General features: G+C 47.2%; 1 protein-coding gene across 17 annotated transcripts in view, besides 2 other annotated features; it reads left to right on the top strand.

Moving 5' to 3' along the window:
* LARGE1 (LARGE xylosyl- and glucuronyltransferase 1) overlaps positions 1-14,883 on the top strand; it is an 856,162-nt gene that overhangs the window by 2,119 nt on the left and 839,160 nt on the right. For 12 of the 17 annotated variants that reach the window (XR_007067993.1, XR_002958722.2, XR_007067994.1 and 9 more), the window contains exon 1: positions 230-711. The exons of the other annotated variants lie outside the window; for them this stretch is intronic. The gene's annotated coding sequence lies outside the window, so the exon portion shown is untranslated. Of the gene's footprint in view, positions 1-229; positions 712-14,883 lie in introns of those variants that run through there. 17 annotated transcript variants of the gene reach the window in all.
* Positions 183-332: a silencer, noted in NCBI's record as "silent region_13649". NCBI's record gives its function as "represses an Ori minimal core promoter by ATAC-STARR-seq in GM12878 lymphoblastoid cells {active_cell/tissue: GM12878}" and the evidence as "EXISTENCE:reporter gene assay evidence [ECO:0000049][PMID:35858748]".
* Positions 603-702: a silencer, noted in NCBI's record as "silent region_13648". NCBI's record gives its function as "represses an Ori minimal core promoter by ATAC-STARR-seq in GM12878 lymphoblastoid cells {active_cell/tissue: GM12878}" and the evidence as "EXISTENCE:reporter gene assay evidence [ECO:0000049][PMID:35858748]".

Raw genomic sequence — 14,883 nt, 5'->3', positions numbered from 1 at the left:
CCGCACCCACCGCGCCGCGATCCACTCGCCGCGCCTCCGCTCCCGTGACCTTCCCGGGGCGCCTCCCCTAGCCCCGCGCCCCCGGCCCCGCGCCCCAGGCCGGGGCGAGGCCTTTTCCGGCGCTTCTTTCCCGCGGAGCCGCGGGCGGGCGGCGCAGGCCCTGGGGGAGAGCGCGCCGCGGCCGGTTGCAGCCCCCCCCGCGCCGCCGCGTTCGGCGCCCGGCCCGGCCAGTCTGCTCCTGCCCCGCCGCCGCGCCGGAGCCCGGGCGCCCGAAGCTGGGGGCGCGGCCGCGCTCGTCTCGCCGGGCTGTTCGCGGGCAGGCCCTGCCCTGAAGGGACGAATCGGCTTGGAGCGCGGGAGGTGGAGTCGGCCCCGGCGGTCGCTCCCTGGACCCAACCCGAGGCTGACCCAGGCCCCTGCCCATGCGGGGCGCCCCTGGCTCGGAAGAGTCCCCCGGGCCGGGAGCAGCTCCAGGCAGCGGCCCCGGAGGAAGAGGAAGAAGGGACAGTGCTCAGCTTGGGGGACCCGGACCCTCGCCGCGGCATTTGGAGCCGGGGGCAGTCCCGAACTCTGTGCTTGGCACCGCCGCTCCGAGTAGGGCAGCGCCTGCCGGGACCCTGACCCGGACCCCCTGCGCCTCGTAGGCGGCGGCGCCGCCGCGCCACCCTGTTCTTCCGTGTCTCCCTCTGCCTGGCGGCAGTCACGGCCAAGGTAAGAGCCCCGGAGCGCGAGAGTCGCCGCGGGGGCGCCGTGGTGTGTAGCGCCGGACAAGTTCTCCGAACCTGTGGCTGGTACCCCCTGTACTCGGGATGCCGGCGGGGAGGCCGGGCACACCCTCTGCTGCCCCGGCCGGGAGCCCTGGAGAGGCTGGAGGTGGAAGCCCCCAGTCTCCGAAGTCCCCAGGACCCCCTCAGGGCCTGCTCGGCTTCTGGGCACACAGGCTGCTGGCAGGGAGCGAGCCAGGAGGAGTTTCTGGTTAACACCACGAGGGCATGTGACCGATACCCGCACCCCCGGCCCTCTTGTTAGCGGTGAGCACCTGTGGTTCGCGGAGCCTGCCGTGTTTGGAGAGGGCCCTGTTGGGCGGTACGCAACTACCTTTCGTGGTGTGATGCTGTGAATAACTTTTCTTGTTCCTTCTTGCAGACAGTCCTGCGCAATTTGGGGGCGAGCAGCCACAGCTTGCGAGTCCCTCTTTAGGACAGAGTGGTTGGTTGGCATTGCTATCTGTAGGGGGGAAGCCCAGCCAGCATGTCCTTCCTGTTAGTCAAAGCTGCTTGTGAGGAGTGATCAGTGTATAGCTATCCAGACATTCTTGTAAATGTCACTGCTTTTGAAGTTTTGGAGTGAGGACTCCAAAGTTTGTGTATCCTCAAGTTATTTTGTTCATTGCCTTATCCTCTTTTAAATGTTCCTCTTAAGGAACCTCAGTTGTACAAGCCTGTCCTTGCCTGTTTGAAATTTATTAAACCTGTGAGCTTCCCCCAGAACAATCTGATTTTAAATGGGTCACTTCGGAGGGAACAGATTGTCTCTTGCACACTGAATCCATCCCTTGGGTGACCCTGTTTAATGGGGTTGGACTCTTTTTTTTTTTTTTTTTCGTCTCTGTGCTGATGTGCCTCGGTTGAGCAGGTTTCTGCTGAATTCAGAATCCGTGAATTTTGTCACTCAGTCCATTAAAATGATCTCCTGAGGGAGCAAAATAGCAGCTTACATTTTTCGTGAATGTCACTGGAAGTTTTACAGGGTCTTATGTAAGTGCCCAGAGAGAGAGAGAGAGGAGGGAGTGGGGGGAGATCAGGCTCCTGCTTCCTTCAAGGGGAGAAACGGAGGGGGTGGCAGGTGGGGGCGTCCGCCTCCCTGACATGCAGATGCCTTTCTTCTCTGACACAGGTGTGGAGACCTGAAGTGCTTATCATTCCGTGGAGGCAGTCACCTCGGGTTAATTTTTCTTCTCACTTCTCCTGTCTTCCCACCTCAGGAGTCAGCTTTGATAGACTTAAGATAAGGAAAGCTTCTAAATTAAGAAGGGAACAAGTGGTGGTTGTTTCTTCTCCCATCCCTCACAAATGGGTGACATGAATGAATTACTCACTGGCACGCTTGGTCCTCCCTAGGGGTAAAAATAAAAGAAATAAAAACGCCAGCTTTAAGATTTCACACATCTCTTAGTGTACCTTTATTGTTCAAGAGTACTTTAGTGAAAATTGCTTGTGGAGAACACATTTATCGAGCCTGTCCCTGTTAATTCCATACCAGGAAGAAAACTCACTCGAACAGAGAGGCAAAAATCACCAAGATTTAGAGGTTAGTGGGTTTTCAAGAGTGGCGAGGAAAGGAATCAAATCCCCCTGGCAGGAGAGAGAGGTTTTTAACGGGAAGATCGGATTGCTCTGGAGTGAGCAGTAGCTGCTGACAAGTGTGGGCCCTCCTGCTTCACTTAATGAAGTGTGCTGGGGTGTGGATTAACTTTTTGATGTGAGCCAATGCAGATTCCTTTGGCTTTTAAACCATACCTGGAAGGGCCTTAGAAATGAAATGAAAGGTTTTTTTCATCTCATCATAGGTCTCGGAAGTGCTTCCATCTCTTGGGAAGGTTGTGACGAAGGTTTCCTTTGTTTCTGGGTTCCTGAGCTGCGCTTTAAAGTTGATGCACAGTGCAGGGAGGGTGCGTCCTGTAGTGTCGCCATCCTTCAGCCACCTACAGTAGCAGGACACTAGGGGGGACTAGTTATCTTTTCCACCATCGAAGAAGAAAACACCAGGGCCCATGTTACTGTGGTTTATCTTGAGGGTTCATGAGCCTGTGGTTTATGTTGAGGGTTCGTGAGACTGTGGTTTATCTTGAGGGTTCCTGAGATGAACTTTTTGGGATCTAGTACATGCTTGCACTAGTGAGTGGATTCTGAGTGCCTAAGGGATGGGCCTGCTCACATCTAAATTGTCATTTGGACAACTCAGAACCAGTTAACTGCAAAATGTTATGTGACATTCTGAAAAGACTCAGTTATAATCTCTAAGTATTTAAGGACTACAAAAAGGCTCTATCCTTTGAATATTAGACCATCCTAACTTTAAGTTCCCTAACAGTTTGTAATCAACACTTTTGGTGTTTGGTTTTTGACTGCATATTCCCTGCAGTCATCATAAAATCACATGGCTTCAAAATGTCTCTGCAGTGGACTCCATCAAACTTAAAATTCCCCTTAAAAATACATTCCGTATACTTAGAGATGTTAACATAACATTTGACGGTGTAGTTGCACTTCCACCTCAGACGCTGTCTGCACTTTTAATAGTATGAAATCATTAATGTCCACAGCCCTTCCAGCAGAATTGGAAGATAATTCTACTTCCCTGAAGAACACTGACTGCCCCATTGCCTAGGTTTACCCAAGTAGCTAAGTCTTATCAAAGCTGATCCCAGAGGTGGGAGTAGCGGGGAGACAGGAAAGATGCAAGGTAGAGGCCAAGAAGAGCCTGCTTAGTTTAGAATACTGTCACAAAAACAGGCAGATATCACCAAGATGTTGGTCACACTGGATTCTAAAAGGCCCAGTTCAGCATGTAGAGTTAGACTCTGTTTGAAACCTGTGAACCCACCTGAGTTATTACTTTTCCCTTGAACTCTGGGGTCTGGTAGACGGCATTTGTGACCCTTTACCCATACGTGTAGTGCACATTTAGGTAGTTGAAGGGGAGCTATTGTTGTGGTCTAGGAAAAATGGTCAGCAGACAGCTTTATTTCTAACATTAAGACTTTATAGATTGATTCTCTTGGGCACAGTACAGCCAAGGGGTAAGAGATTGGAACAGGAAAATACCATCGCATTTGCCATTGAGCACCAACGATTGAAGACCGATCCTGTGGAGAATATATGCTGTCATCCTGAGACATGAATGAAGTCTTATGAATTTGATGGAAGCCAGGTGGCAGAAGTAGAGGCAGGAGGCTGGCCTTCCTTACGGTCCGTGAACAAGATGAAGGTGTCTTTTTGGCTAGAGATTCTCAGAAAGGAGGAGCATACTGCATTGGGGGTGGGGGATATAAGACCCAAAAGGCTGAGAGCTCTAGACACCCTGCCACTGACACACCTCGGGGATACAGCCACCTTGGAAAATCTGCTTAGTGTTGGTGAGGTCGCTCTACATGGAGTATTTGCCATTGAGAGGTGTTCAGCATTTCTCTGTCACATTGGCGTATGGAGAGTAGCAGGCAGCAACGAGTGAAAGGCTTCGTTAAATGTATTTTATAAGACTTTTCATCTTTTCGTTTAACAAATAATAATAGACCATCTACCCTGTGGCAGGTGCCATGCTCTGTGTGGAGGTTACAGAGTCAGGTTACATTTAGCTTCTAGTCTTTTATGGGAGGCAGACATTCAGCTATTTGTTTGTTTGTTTGTTTTTTCTTTTTTTTTTGAGATGGAGTCTTGCTCTGTCAGCCAGGCTAGAGTGCAGTGGCATGATCTTAGCTCACTGCAACCTCCGCCTCCCGGGTTCAAGCAATTCTCCTGCCTCAGCCTCCCGAGTAGCTGGGATTACAGGCGCCCGCCCCCACGCCCGGCTAATTTTTGTATTTTTAGTAGAGGCGGGGTTTCACCATCTTCGCCAGGCTGGTCTAGAACTCCTGACCTTGTGATCCACCTGTCTCGGCCTCCCAAAGTGCTGGGATTACAGGTGTGAGCCACCGTGCCCGGGCCAGACATTCAACTATTATTACCAGGTAAGTACTATCCTGCAGACTTGTTCAAGGGATGAGTTTGAACTTCCCAGGAGAGTAGGGAGGAAGGGGATCACAGGCAGAAAGAACAGCATGGAAACCCTAAAGTATCTATTGTGGTGTGTATGGAGAATAGTCATAGTTAGTGTGGCTGGAAGGTGGGATGTGCCCGAAGAGGGAAACGCGGTGTTAGAAGAGAAATAATTTAATAAGATTCCATGCTGAGGACTGTGCCCCCGCTTCTTGCTCTGTGTATTCAAATAGTGGCAAGAATGGTTGCGAGATAAAATCTGAGCATGCTAACTGGTTATCCCACATTGTTATTAAAAACAGAAAATTTTTTCTTTTGTCCGTTATCATTCTACGTACAGCATTTTGCCTATTCTTTAAAAAACTATTAGCAATGCAAATAAAGAAAGGGTCCCTTATCAACCCTAAGTCTGCCCTCTTGTGTACATGAATTACACCTGGCACTTTCATTATGTCATTATGCAGCAGTGGGAAAAATGACAATGTTACTTGACAAATGATATAATATGAAAAAAAAAACACTTAGGTGAGAACAAATTCCATTTTATCAGATATGCTCTGGGTAGAGTTATGGTTGTGTTTAACACCTGAACAAGATTCATATTATGATCATTTCAGTTCTAGTCTAAACTTCCTTTGCTGTTAGAAAAGAAAGAGTTTTGAATATTGAGAATGGGAGGGTAGGTGGGCATGTGTGCATATGTGTGTTTCTTGGGATGAGGAAACTATGGTGAGGAAGAGCAAGCAACAGTGTAACTGCCTGAAGGATATTAGATAGAGAATGTGGAAAATCACAGTTGTAAAAGCAGTCTCCAGGGCCAGGTATATTTAGTATAGTTTTTAGAAACAGCAGCCAGAAGGATAATGGGAATAAAAGTTAGAAGCCTCTCTCTCTCTCTCTCTCTCTGTGTGTGTGTGTGTGTGTGTGTGTGTGTGTTTGTGTTTGTATGTTTGTCTTGTCTCTATCATCCATCCCTATGTTGATTGGGAGACAGGATGCTTTAATCAAGCCCCAGGGGATCAGGGGTTTAGTCTTACAGCATCCTGTGCTAACTTGCTGTGTGACCTTAGAATATTTCTTGGCATCTCTGGGCTTCAGGCGCTGTCTCTATACATTAGTGTGTTACTGATCTTGTAAGTAGGAATTTAGAGGCCCAGGGAGGGAAAGGGCTTGCTTCAGTCAGTTAGCTTAGCCTCTACACTGAGCACTCTTTAGGTTGTCTAGTTTTCTCCTTCTTAAATGGAAAGAAAGAGGCCTGACCAGTTCATAGGTGCACTCTTCCTTGAAATATAAAGCACTGCAAATACACAAGGCTGAAGAAAAGAATCACAAAGTCTTTGTGATTGGTCATAGCCATTTTCATAAAGCAGCAGCCAGACTTGCCAGCTAACTTATTACCTATGGTGGAAACCCGTTAGTTCTGAAATGTTACACTGTTCTTTGACCACTATTTGAGAATTAAGTGCTTTGTGATTAAAAACAACAGCAACAATGCTGAATCTTGTAATTATTTCATAATTAAGTAAATAAAAGCTGAGGTGACCTCTCCGGATTTTGCAAAGCCCTGAATGTAACTTGGAAGGGGAAACCCATTCATTTGGCCTGAACGGGAGATTACCTTGTAGGGGAGCTGCTGGGTGAATATCAAAGGTCTTTTGAAGAAAAACAGAGTAGAAGAGCAATTGGGTAGATACACAAGTCAGGAAAAATGCAAAGTGACTTAGTTTGATGCCTCCAAATGTGTGAGTTGCTAGAAAGAGGGCTCCTCACTATGGCTGATCTCCTGGGGGTAGAGGAAAGAGGAGATCTGAAGTAAGTGCAGTGTAAATAGAAGGTTTGTTACATTCTTATTTGGGAGTTGAAGCCAAGTGGAGGAGTGCTGTATTTTAGGAGAAGTGGGCATATAAAATGTGATCTTAAAACTAAATAATTTGAGATAAGTTAATTGCAGTACAAAAAGATTTTTACCTTACTAAAGGGATTCATAGTGAGTCTCCTTTTAATAGCTAATTCCGTTATTATATTTCAAATTATTTGATGAACACAATCATGATAGACCCTTTTGGGAGCCTCACCTGTTATGCAAAACCAAGGACTTTTCGGTTGGGCACAGTGGCTCACCCCTGTAATCCCAGCACTTTGGGAAGCCGAGGCAGGTGGATCACGAAGTCAAGAGATTGAGACCATCCTGGCCAATATGGTGAAACCCCGTGTCTACTAAAAATACAAAAAAAAAAATTAGCTGGGCATGGTGGCGCGTGCCTGTAGTCCCAGCTACTCGGGAGGCTGAGGTAGGAGAATGGCTCGAACCTGTGAGGCAGAGGTTGCAGTGAGTTGAGATGCCGCCACTGCACTCCAGCCTGGGGAAAGAGCAAGACTCCTTCTCAAAAACAAAAAGCAAACAAAAAAAACACCAAAGACTTCTCAAACATAAACGAATGTTTTAACAAATAACCCGCTAGGAGCCTAATATTCAACTGTATTGCAGAAAGCAGTACAGTGGTTATGTAAACTGTCATTACCGCTAACCTAACACATGGAGTTACATCACTTACTTACTTTTGGCAGATTACTTATTTAACTACTGTTCTGCCTGGAGATAACAGTACTCACCTACCCACCTTCATAAGTTCCTTAACCACCCGCACATTCTACCTCTAAGAATATATCAAGAACAAAAGTGGTTTAAAAAGTAAATTAGGTAAGAGTTTCCAGGATTCTGAGTTTTTATAATTGCAGAGACATGGAATTCATTTTGTTCTGCTTGAGTATACAGGAGAGGCGGTGTGTATGAGACATTAAAAAATATCAAAATCAGGCCGGGCTTGGTGGCTCACGCCTGTAATCCCAGAATTTTGGGAGGCCGAGGTGGGGGGATCACCTGAGGTCAGGAGTTCGAGACCAGCCTGGCCAACATTGTGAAACCCTGTCTCTACTAAAAAATACAAAAATTAGCCGGGCGTGGTGGCGCACGCCTGTAATCCCAGCTACTCGGGAGGCTGAGGCAGGAGAGTCACTTGAACTCCAGAGACGGAGGTTACAGTGAGCCGAGATCACAGCCATTGCGCTCCAGCCTGGAAACAGTGAGACTTCGTCTCAAAAAAAAAAAAACATGCTTGTCTGCTGGTTCTTCCTTCACTGTAACAGAAATATCTAGGGCTTTTTTTTTTTTCATTGTTGTTCTTCCTTTATCTCTTATGAGGCTTTCCAAAAAAGATTTTGTTCTAGGAATGGAATAAACTGTAGGGCGTTTAAGGCTTCAGAGGTAATTTTGGGCAACCTGGAGTTGCAGGTAATCACAGGCTGGGGCTGGAATTGAAAATGCAGTCTCACCCATAATTTGAGCCTCTTTTGTCGCATTATGGGGCTGTGCCTTGGACAGGCAGCAGACGCAGATGGAGATGGAACCCTGACTACTGAGAGAGCTTTGCTTTTAACATAGTCCTTTTCTGAATTACCAAGGCCAATTGGGAAGAAAGGACTTGCCGATCTTTCCAGCTCTCCATGGTAGCCATAGAATTTAGGAAGATTTACAGCAGAACGTGGGCATCTAGGGATTTCTTTCTTCCTTTTCTTTTTTTTAAATTTTAAATTCAGAAGGGAATCTTGGGCTCTTGAGTGTTATTCTGTGGTTAGGGATTGCTGCGGCTTCCTTGGATACATTAAATGCATATTTGTTATTATTGAGTAAGGTTAACCTTGCTGCGGCTAACTCGAAGCCATCCCCTCCCCTTTTGTTTTTAGAACAGTTGCGTAGATCCTTCATGTGCCAACACTGTTTGTTTAAGAGCCTTCTTGACTGATGTCAGCTCTCATCTGGAAATGGCATTTTGTGGTTGTTTCAGAAGCCAAGGGAGGCATAGAGGCAAGCCCATAGGCCGGTGGGGCTTTACCTTTCTTCAGGAGTGGTGCTGGTGCTTAGTAGGTCTGCAGTTAGTAAGTAGTTGTGTCCACACTGAATGATTTGTTTTGTGAATGAATGGTCATGTTTTCATTACTGGGGTGGAGGTGATGCGGGAGGGAGAGGTGGGTGAGTAACAGTAGACTTAAATGGTGATGAGATAGACTTGAGCTCCTCAAGGCGTCTCCTAGCAGCTTTTGTTTTAAAAATGTGAAGGATATTTCAGATCAGCAGAATGAATTCTCTGAAGGATCATTGTTGTGGTTCAAACATTGATGGCTTTGTAAAAAGGCAAGGAGAGTACAATACCGAAATGCGTGCTTTCTTTCCTCCGAGTTTGTAGGGATTTTAACTTATCTGGAATGAGAAGAATGGACATGCTGTAAAGCTTGTTCACATTTACATGACAAGTTGCCTTGAAAATGCCTGGAAAGACATTTTCAATATGAGAAACTTTAGGATGGTTGTTGTCCAGCATGGATGACGATGATTATGAAATGACTTAGGTGTAGACCGGCGCTCCCATGTCAGGAGGATGAAGTGGACGTGGGAGAATGGAGGGAGGGACTCAGTACTTGGTCCCCAGCAGGAAGAACTCTCCTCGACCATATTGGTGTCTTTACCCATTTCCCAATATGACTCCCTCTCTGCTGGGTTTCTCAGTTACAAGAGCACTCTCTGATGCCTTCCGTCTGTAAGGCAGAGCTACTGTATTGAGAGACTACCAAGGCTGGAAGAGACCTTGGAGCCCCACTAGACCAACACCTTCATTTTACATCCGTAGAAACTAAGGCCAGACCTAAGGGAGGTCAAGATGATTATTCAGAGGGGAGGTGGAACCAGAACCTAGGCTCCCTGGTCCTCAGCTCTCCCTTCTCTGCAGCATGCTCTGCTTCCATCCAATCTGCACCCAAAGCACGTTCTTCCAGTGTTTCTTTTGTGCCAGGCACTCTCTCATTCGGTCATTTTTGTTATTTCATTCTCACAGCAACCCTGGGAGGGGGATGTGCTCACTCTCCCACTTCACAGATGTGGAAACTGACGCTTGTGCAAGGCCCACAGCCATGAAGAAGGAGCCAGGACTCAACTCGCAGCTGTTCAGACTCCTCAGTTTGTTGTTCCAGGACCGACCTTGCCCCTGGCTTCCCTGCCTCTCTGACCTCGCTGTATTTCCTAGGACTCCTCTCCAGGTTTTCTTTGTTCCTAGCCTACTAGGCTTCACCTAAAAATGCCACTTGTTTTCCCACTTGAGTGGCCTTGTTACGCTGCTTTTTTTGCTGGATCCAACCCCCCATCCTCTCTCTTGTCTCTGGCTGAAATCGTTCCTGACTGTAGGCTCTGTGACACTGTCTCTTTGTGGGGTTTCCTTCACTTGCTCAGCCAACGTTGATCAAGCTCCTACTGTGTGCAGGTCCTGGCTTGACAGCGGAACACAGAGGTGCAGAGTTACTCATCGTCCATTCAGGAGCCTCGTCTTGGTGAGGGAGGAAGAGTCTCGTAAGGGGATGAGTGAAAGTCAAAGGGCCCAGAGGACAGTGTGTTGGGTAGCATTCTGCTTGAAGAAGTCAAGATGAGAATATTAGATTTGGGTCTTAGTGATTAGGAGATGGGAGGATAGGGTAGGAGGAGGCGTCACCAAACAGCAAACCAAATCAAAGGCTGTGCTTGGCCATCTTCAACTAGGCATTGTCAGTATCTACATACTTTAATTCTTATTCCTTCACTTAGGTATTAGAGGCTGTGAGTACGTTACACCCATCCTTATATCTATGAAAGCACCTTGCGAAGCTCTTAGTACTTACGACTCCTCCACTCAACATTTATTATATTAAATTCAGAGCTTCCTGTCCCTGCCCTCGAGGGACATAGTTGGAGAGCTTGCAAAAAATGTGTCATAAGTTAAGCAACAATAGAAGATTAAATGAACAGTTACGAGCAACAATAGAAAGGAGGTAGCAGTGTAGTGAATGGATGTGTGCACTGTGGTGGCTGAACACGGATGGGAAGTCAGAGGTGGGAGCTTCCTTTAGCTTCTCAAACTCAAAGGAGGGGTGGGACTTGAGTTGGGTCTTTGGATACAAGACAGTTAAAATCTGAATGGAAGGATTAAGGGAGGGTAGTTTGGCAAGCACAAATATATTTTTTGGGTTGGAGAGGAAGCCAGCTTGGGTTTCTGTTAGCAAGGAGTTGCAGATGAAGTTGGTGAGTTAGGCCGGGCGTGGTGGCTCATGCCTGTAATCCCAGCACTCTGGGAGGCTGAGGCGGGCGAATCATGAGGTCAGGAGATCGAGACCATCTTGACTAACGCGGTGAAACCCCGTCTCTACTAAAAATACAAAAAATTAGCTGGGCGTGGTGGCGGGCGCCTGTAGTCCCAGCTACTCGGGAGGCTGAGGCAGGAGAATGGCGTGAACCCGGAAGTCAGAGCTTGCAGTGAGCCGATATCATGCCACTGCACTCCTCCAGCCTGGATGACAGAGCGAGACTCCGTCTCAAAAACAAAAACAAAAACAAAAAAAAAAAAACAAAAGAAGAAGTTGGTGAGTTAGGGGCTGTGGGCTTTGGGAAGGCAGGGTGACTTTTCATCAGGGGGATGTGGTGTGCTAAAGGCCCTGGTTTTGGAAGGTGCACCTGCATCGTGCCTGGGACAAATTGAAGCGGGGAGAGATGGAGGCTGGGAGACAGCTGGACAGGATTTTGTACCAGTTCATATATGAAGTTCTAAGGGCCGCCAGGCTGGAACTGTTACAGGAGGACAGAAGCCCAGGGAGGCTTGTGAATTTTTCTCTGTTGAATCACTGGCTCACAAACATTTGCTTGATATGGAAGTCTGAGATGGCTTTCATTGCCCACTGTAATATGGCCTTGTTGGAATAAAGTCCACTCGTGACACAAGCAGCAAGTCTTAAAATAGCGCTTTCTCCTTTGGCTTGGCTTGGGGTAGAGCTTTGGTGAAAATACACTTTTCGGGGCCTCTCTTATTGGGGGTTTGTTCAAATGGGCTCAGGGTTATAGAACAACCTTTTTCCTAGCCTTGGATGGCACCCAATAAGGGGTATAATAGAGAAAATTCTTCTTTTCCTCATGAGTGGCTCCTAAAGCAGCTGCGTGGAGCTGAGAGCAAAGTGCTTGGAGCTCTGACATCTGGGTTCTGGATTCACCTTAAAAGTGAAGCCAATTTCTTTGCTTCCTGTGACGGCTGGTGTTTCTCTGTCTGAGGAGGAGCTTGCTTTGAGATTACGGTACACACTTTTCAGCATTGTGGGGTAAGCCATTCTGGATAACAGAATTTCTCAAATAGGATAATCCAATCCCTTACAGACAGCAAGTCTTTATTTTTAATCTTTAAGGAATGAGGGTTTCTCTAGGATGTTCTGTGTACTTACCCTCACTGGCTCACCATCAGCCCCTGGAAAACTTCAGCTGTCATATTGGGACGCACAAAGCTTGTTATGAACCAGCCCTGCCTTTCTCTGCAGTCTCACCCCCCACCCCTGGCCACCCCCCATTTCATGCATCATCAATCTGTAACTTAATCATTTTCTTCTTTACTGATTTTTTTCCCCCTAGACCTGTCAAGCTGTGCACATACCCCTCCTGCCCGGTAAGCTCTTTCCTTCTTTATCTGCCTGGGACACTTGTGTTTTTCCTTCAGAACCCAGCTCAGGTAGTCCTGCCTCTTAAGCTTTTCCTGGTACTGAGCACTGAACCGCATCTGCACCTCAGTCTGACTTCTGCAGCTGCACTTTCTGCGCCGTAACCTGACTGTTTTGCTAGAGAGCGGGAGCCTTTCAGTAAAACTGCATCTCAGGGGATCTTCTAGGTTTTACCGTATGCCTGGAACATGCAGTCAATACAATAAATGGTTGTTGTTGTCGTTTTAGATTTCAGTGAATTTGCTGGCCAGGCATAATGTAACCCTTTCTGATGAAACCTCGAGTGTCATACTGTGCTGCAGTGGTGGATGGGTTGATGTGAATTAGCCTCTCAAAGTATTCCGGAATCTAAAGAAAACCTTCCCCCTCTCACCAATGACCAGAATGGCCATTGGGCATTCCTGGGGTACACTGATGCCTTCAGGAAATCTGGTGGTGCTGGTGAGGTAGAATGCATCTTAGTCATCACTGCAGACCTAGAAATGTCTTCACACAGGCCGGGCACGGTGGCTTACGCCTGGAATCCCAGCACTTTGGGAGGCCGAGGCGGGTGGATCACGAGGTCAGGAGATTGAGACCATCCTGGCTAACATGGTGAAACCCGGTCTCTACTAAAAATACAAAAAAAAATTAGCCGGGCGTGGTGGCGGGCGCCTGTAGTCCCACCTACTCAGGAGGCTCAGGAGGCTCAGGAGGCTCAGGAGGCTGAGGCAGGAGAATGGTGTGAACCCGGGAGGCGGAGGTTGCAGTGAGCCGAGATCGCGCCACTGCGCTACTCCAGCCTGGGTGACAGAGCGAGACTCTGTCTCAAAAAAAAAAAAAGAAATGTCTTCACACAAGCTCTCAAGGGCTGAGTATTGAAGTGGAGGATTAGCAGGTAGGAGGACTTGAAGAACCTTGTACCTTTTATGTTTAATAGTATTCCCCATTTAAAGAGCCAGATGCAGAATGGCAGTCATAATTGATGGAGAAATTATCAGACGGTGATGGGGACTGGCTAGGGAGGATCGAATAAATTTGTACAGGAGCTTAGCAGCAGTGCCTAAAGACTCTTCTCCACATAACCACATGTTTATGTTAGAATATTTAGTATTGCCTCTAGTATTCGTGAGGTCCATTTGGGTTTTTATGGCACTGCCCTTGTAAGCCAGGCGTGAGTGCTGCATGAATAGGTTTGCTTAGCAAATCACAGAGGAGTGACAGAGGAGCCCTGGGCTTATCAGAAGGTTTGTGTGATCCAGGCACTAGCAAAACTTTATGAACTTGCACTTGGCACGTGGTGTTGGTTATATGGTTCAGGAAGCCCTACTGCTTCTCCAGTAGTGGTCTGATTTAATCCATACCAAGGGGTGCTTGTTCTGGGTCTTAGCTTTTGCCATTTTCCTTTTTCTTCTGCTTGGAATTATCTATAACTCCTTTGGAAATACAGCATTTTTGAGCTCATTAAATTTGTTAATGTGTGTATTATGTTGAGAAAGCACTCAGTTATTTAGAGTTGCTTCATTCCCTTTCCCTTCATCTCTTTGCCTTCCCCACCTTAGAGTAATTGTGCTTGGTTAACCAGGAAACCAAGGGCTCCTGGGGATGAAGAAGAGGCCAGTCTTTCTCTTCTTAGCCCTGTCCAGAGATCTCAGAAAATTTGCAGAGGCCCTGAAGGTAAAAGCAAATGGTTGCCCACTAATCACCTGAGGCAGTTTTTCAGGAGTTTTCTGTCTACCTTGCACTTTTCTCTCATAGGAAATTTGGGCTCTGACAGTTAAGAGAGATGGCAGCCAATGAATGGGATAGGAAAGGCCCCTTCCTTAGCAGTTTGTAAGAAAAGGTACTGAGGTGTGCTTTACAAGTATTATGCCTTTTGACAGCTCTCTAAGCTGAGTAGTTTCATTTTACAGCTAAGGAAACTGAGGCTTGGAGAGGTTATTTGCTCAAGCAATAAAGCCCAGAGACTGGAAATGAATTTTGTTTTCAGAATATTTGCTTTTAATCTCTGTCCTATAATCCAACAACCCAGGTGTCCTAATACTGGAAATATACATACCCCTGGGAAATACATGAAGACTTTTCATGGAGTATGCAGATGTGGATACTTCTAAGAAAATAAATTTTCACATCTCCAGCCTCACATATGTGCCCTTCCCTGAAATTGATCAGCCTGAGATGATCCCTGTCTGGTCCACGGTTCTCCCAATCCTCCTTTCATGGTTATCCTCCCTCATTTTGTTTATTTTTATTTTTATTTAATTAATCAATTTATTTATTTTTGAGACAGAGTCTCGCTCCGTTGCCCAGGCCGGAGTGCAGTGGCGCAATCTCGGCTCACTGCAACCTCCGCCTCCCAGGTTTAAGCAATTCTCCTGTCTCAGCCTCCTGAGTAGCTGGGACTACAGGCGCCTGCCACCACGTCTGGCTAATTTTTGTATTTTTAGTAGAGATGGGGTTTCACCTTGTTGGTCACGCTGGTCTCGAACTCCTGACCTCAGGTGATACACCCTCCTCAGCCTCCCAAACTGCTGGGATTACAGGTATGAGCCACTGCACCAGGCCCTGTCCTCCCTCATTTTATAAAGGC

Source organism: Homo sapiens, chromosome 22, assembly GCF_000001405.40.
Source record: "Homo sapiens chromosome 22, GRCh38.p14 Primary Assembly".
In the NCBI taxonomy this organism is placed as follows: domain Eukaryota; kingdom Metazoa; phylum Chordata; class Mammalia; order Primates; family Hominidae; genus Homo; species Homo sapiens.
The sequence above is the reverse complement of the archived record's forward strand: the minus strand, read 5'-3'. Positions and strand labels throughout refer to the sequence as shown.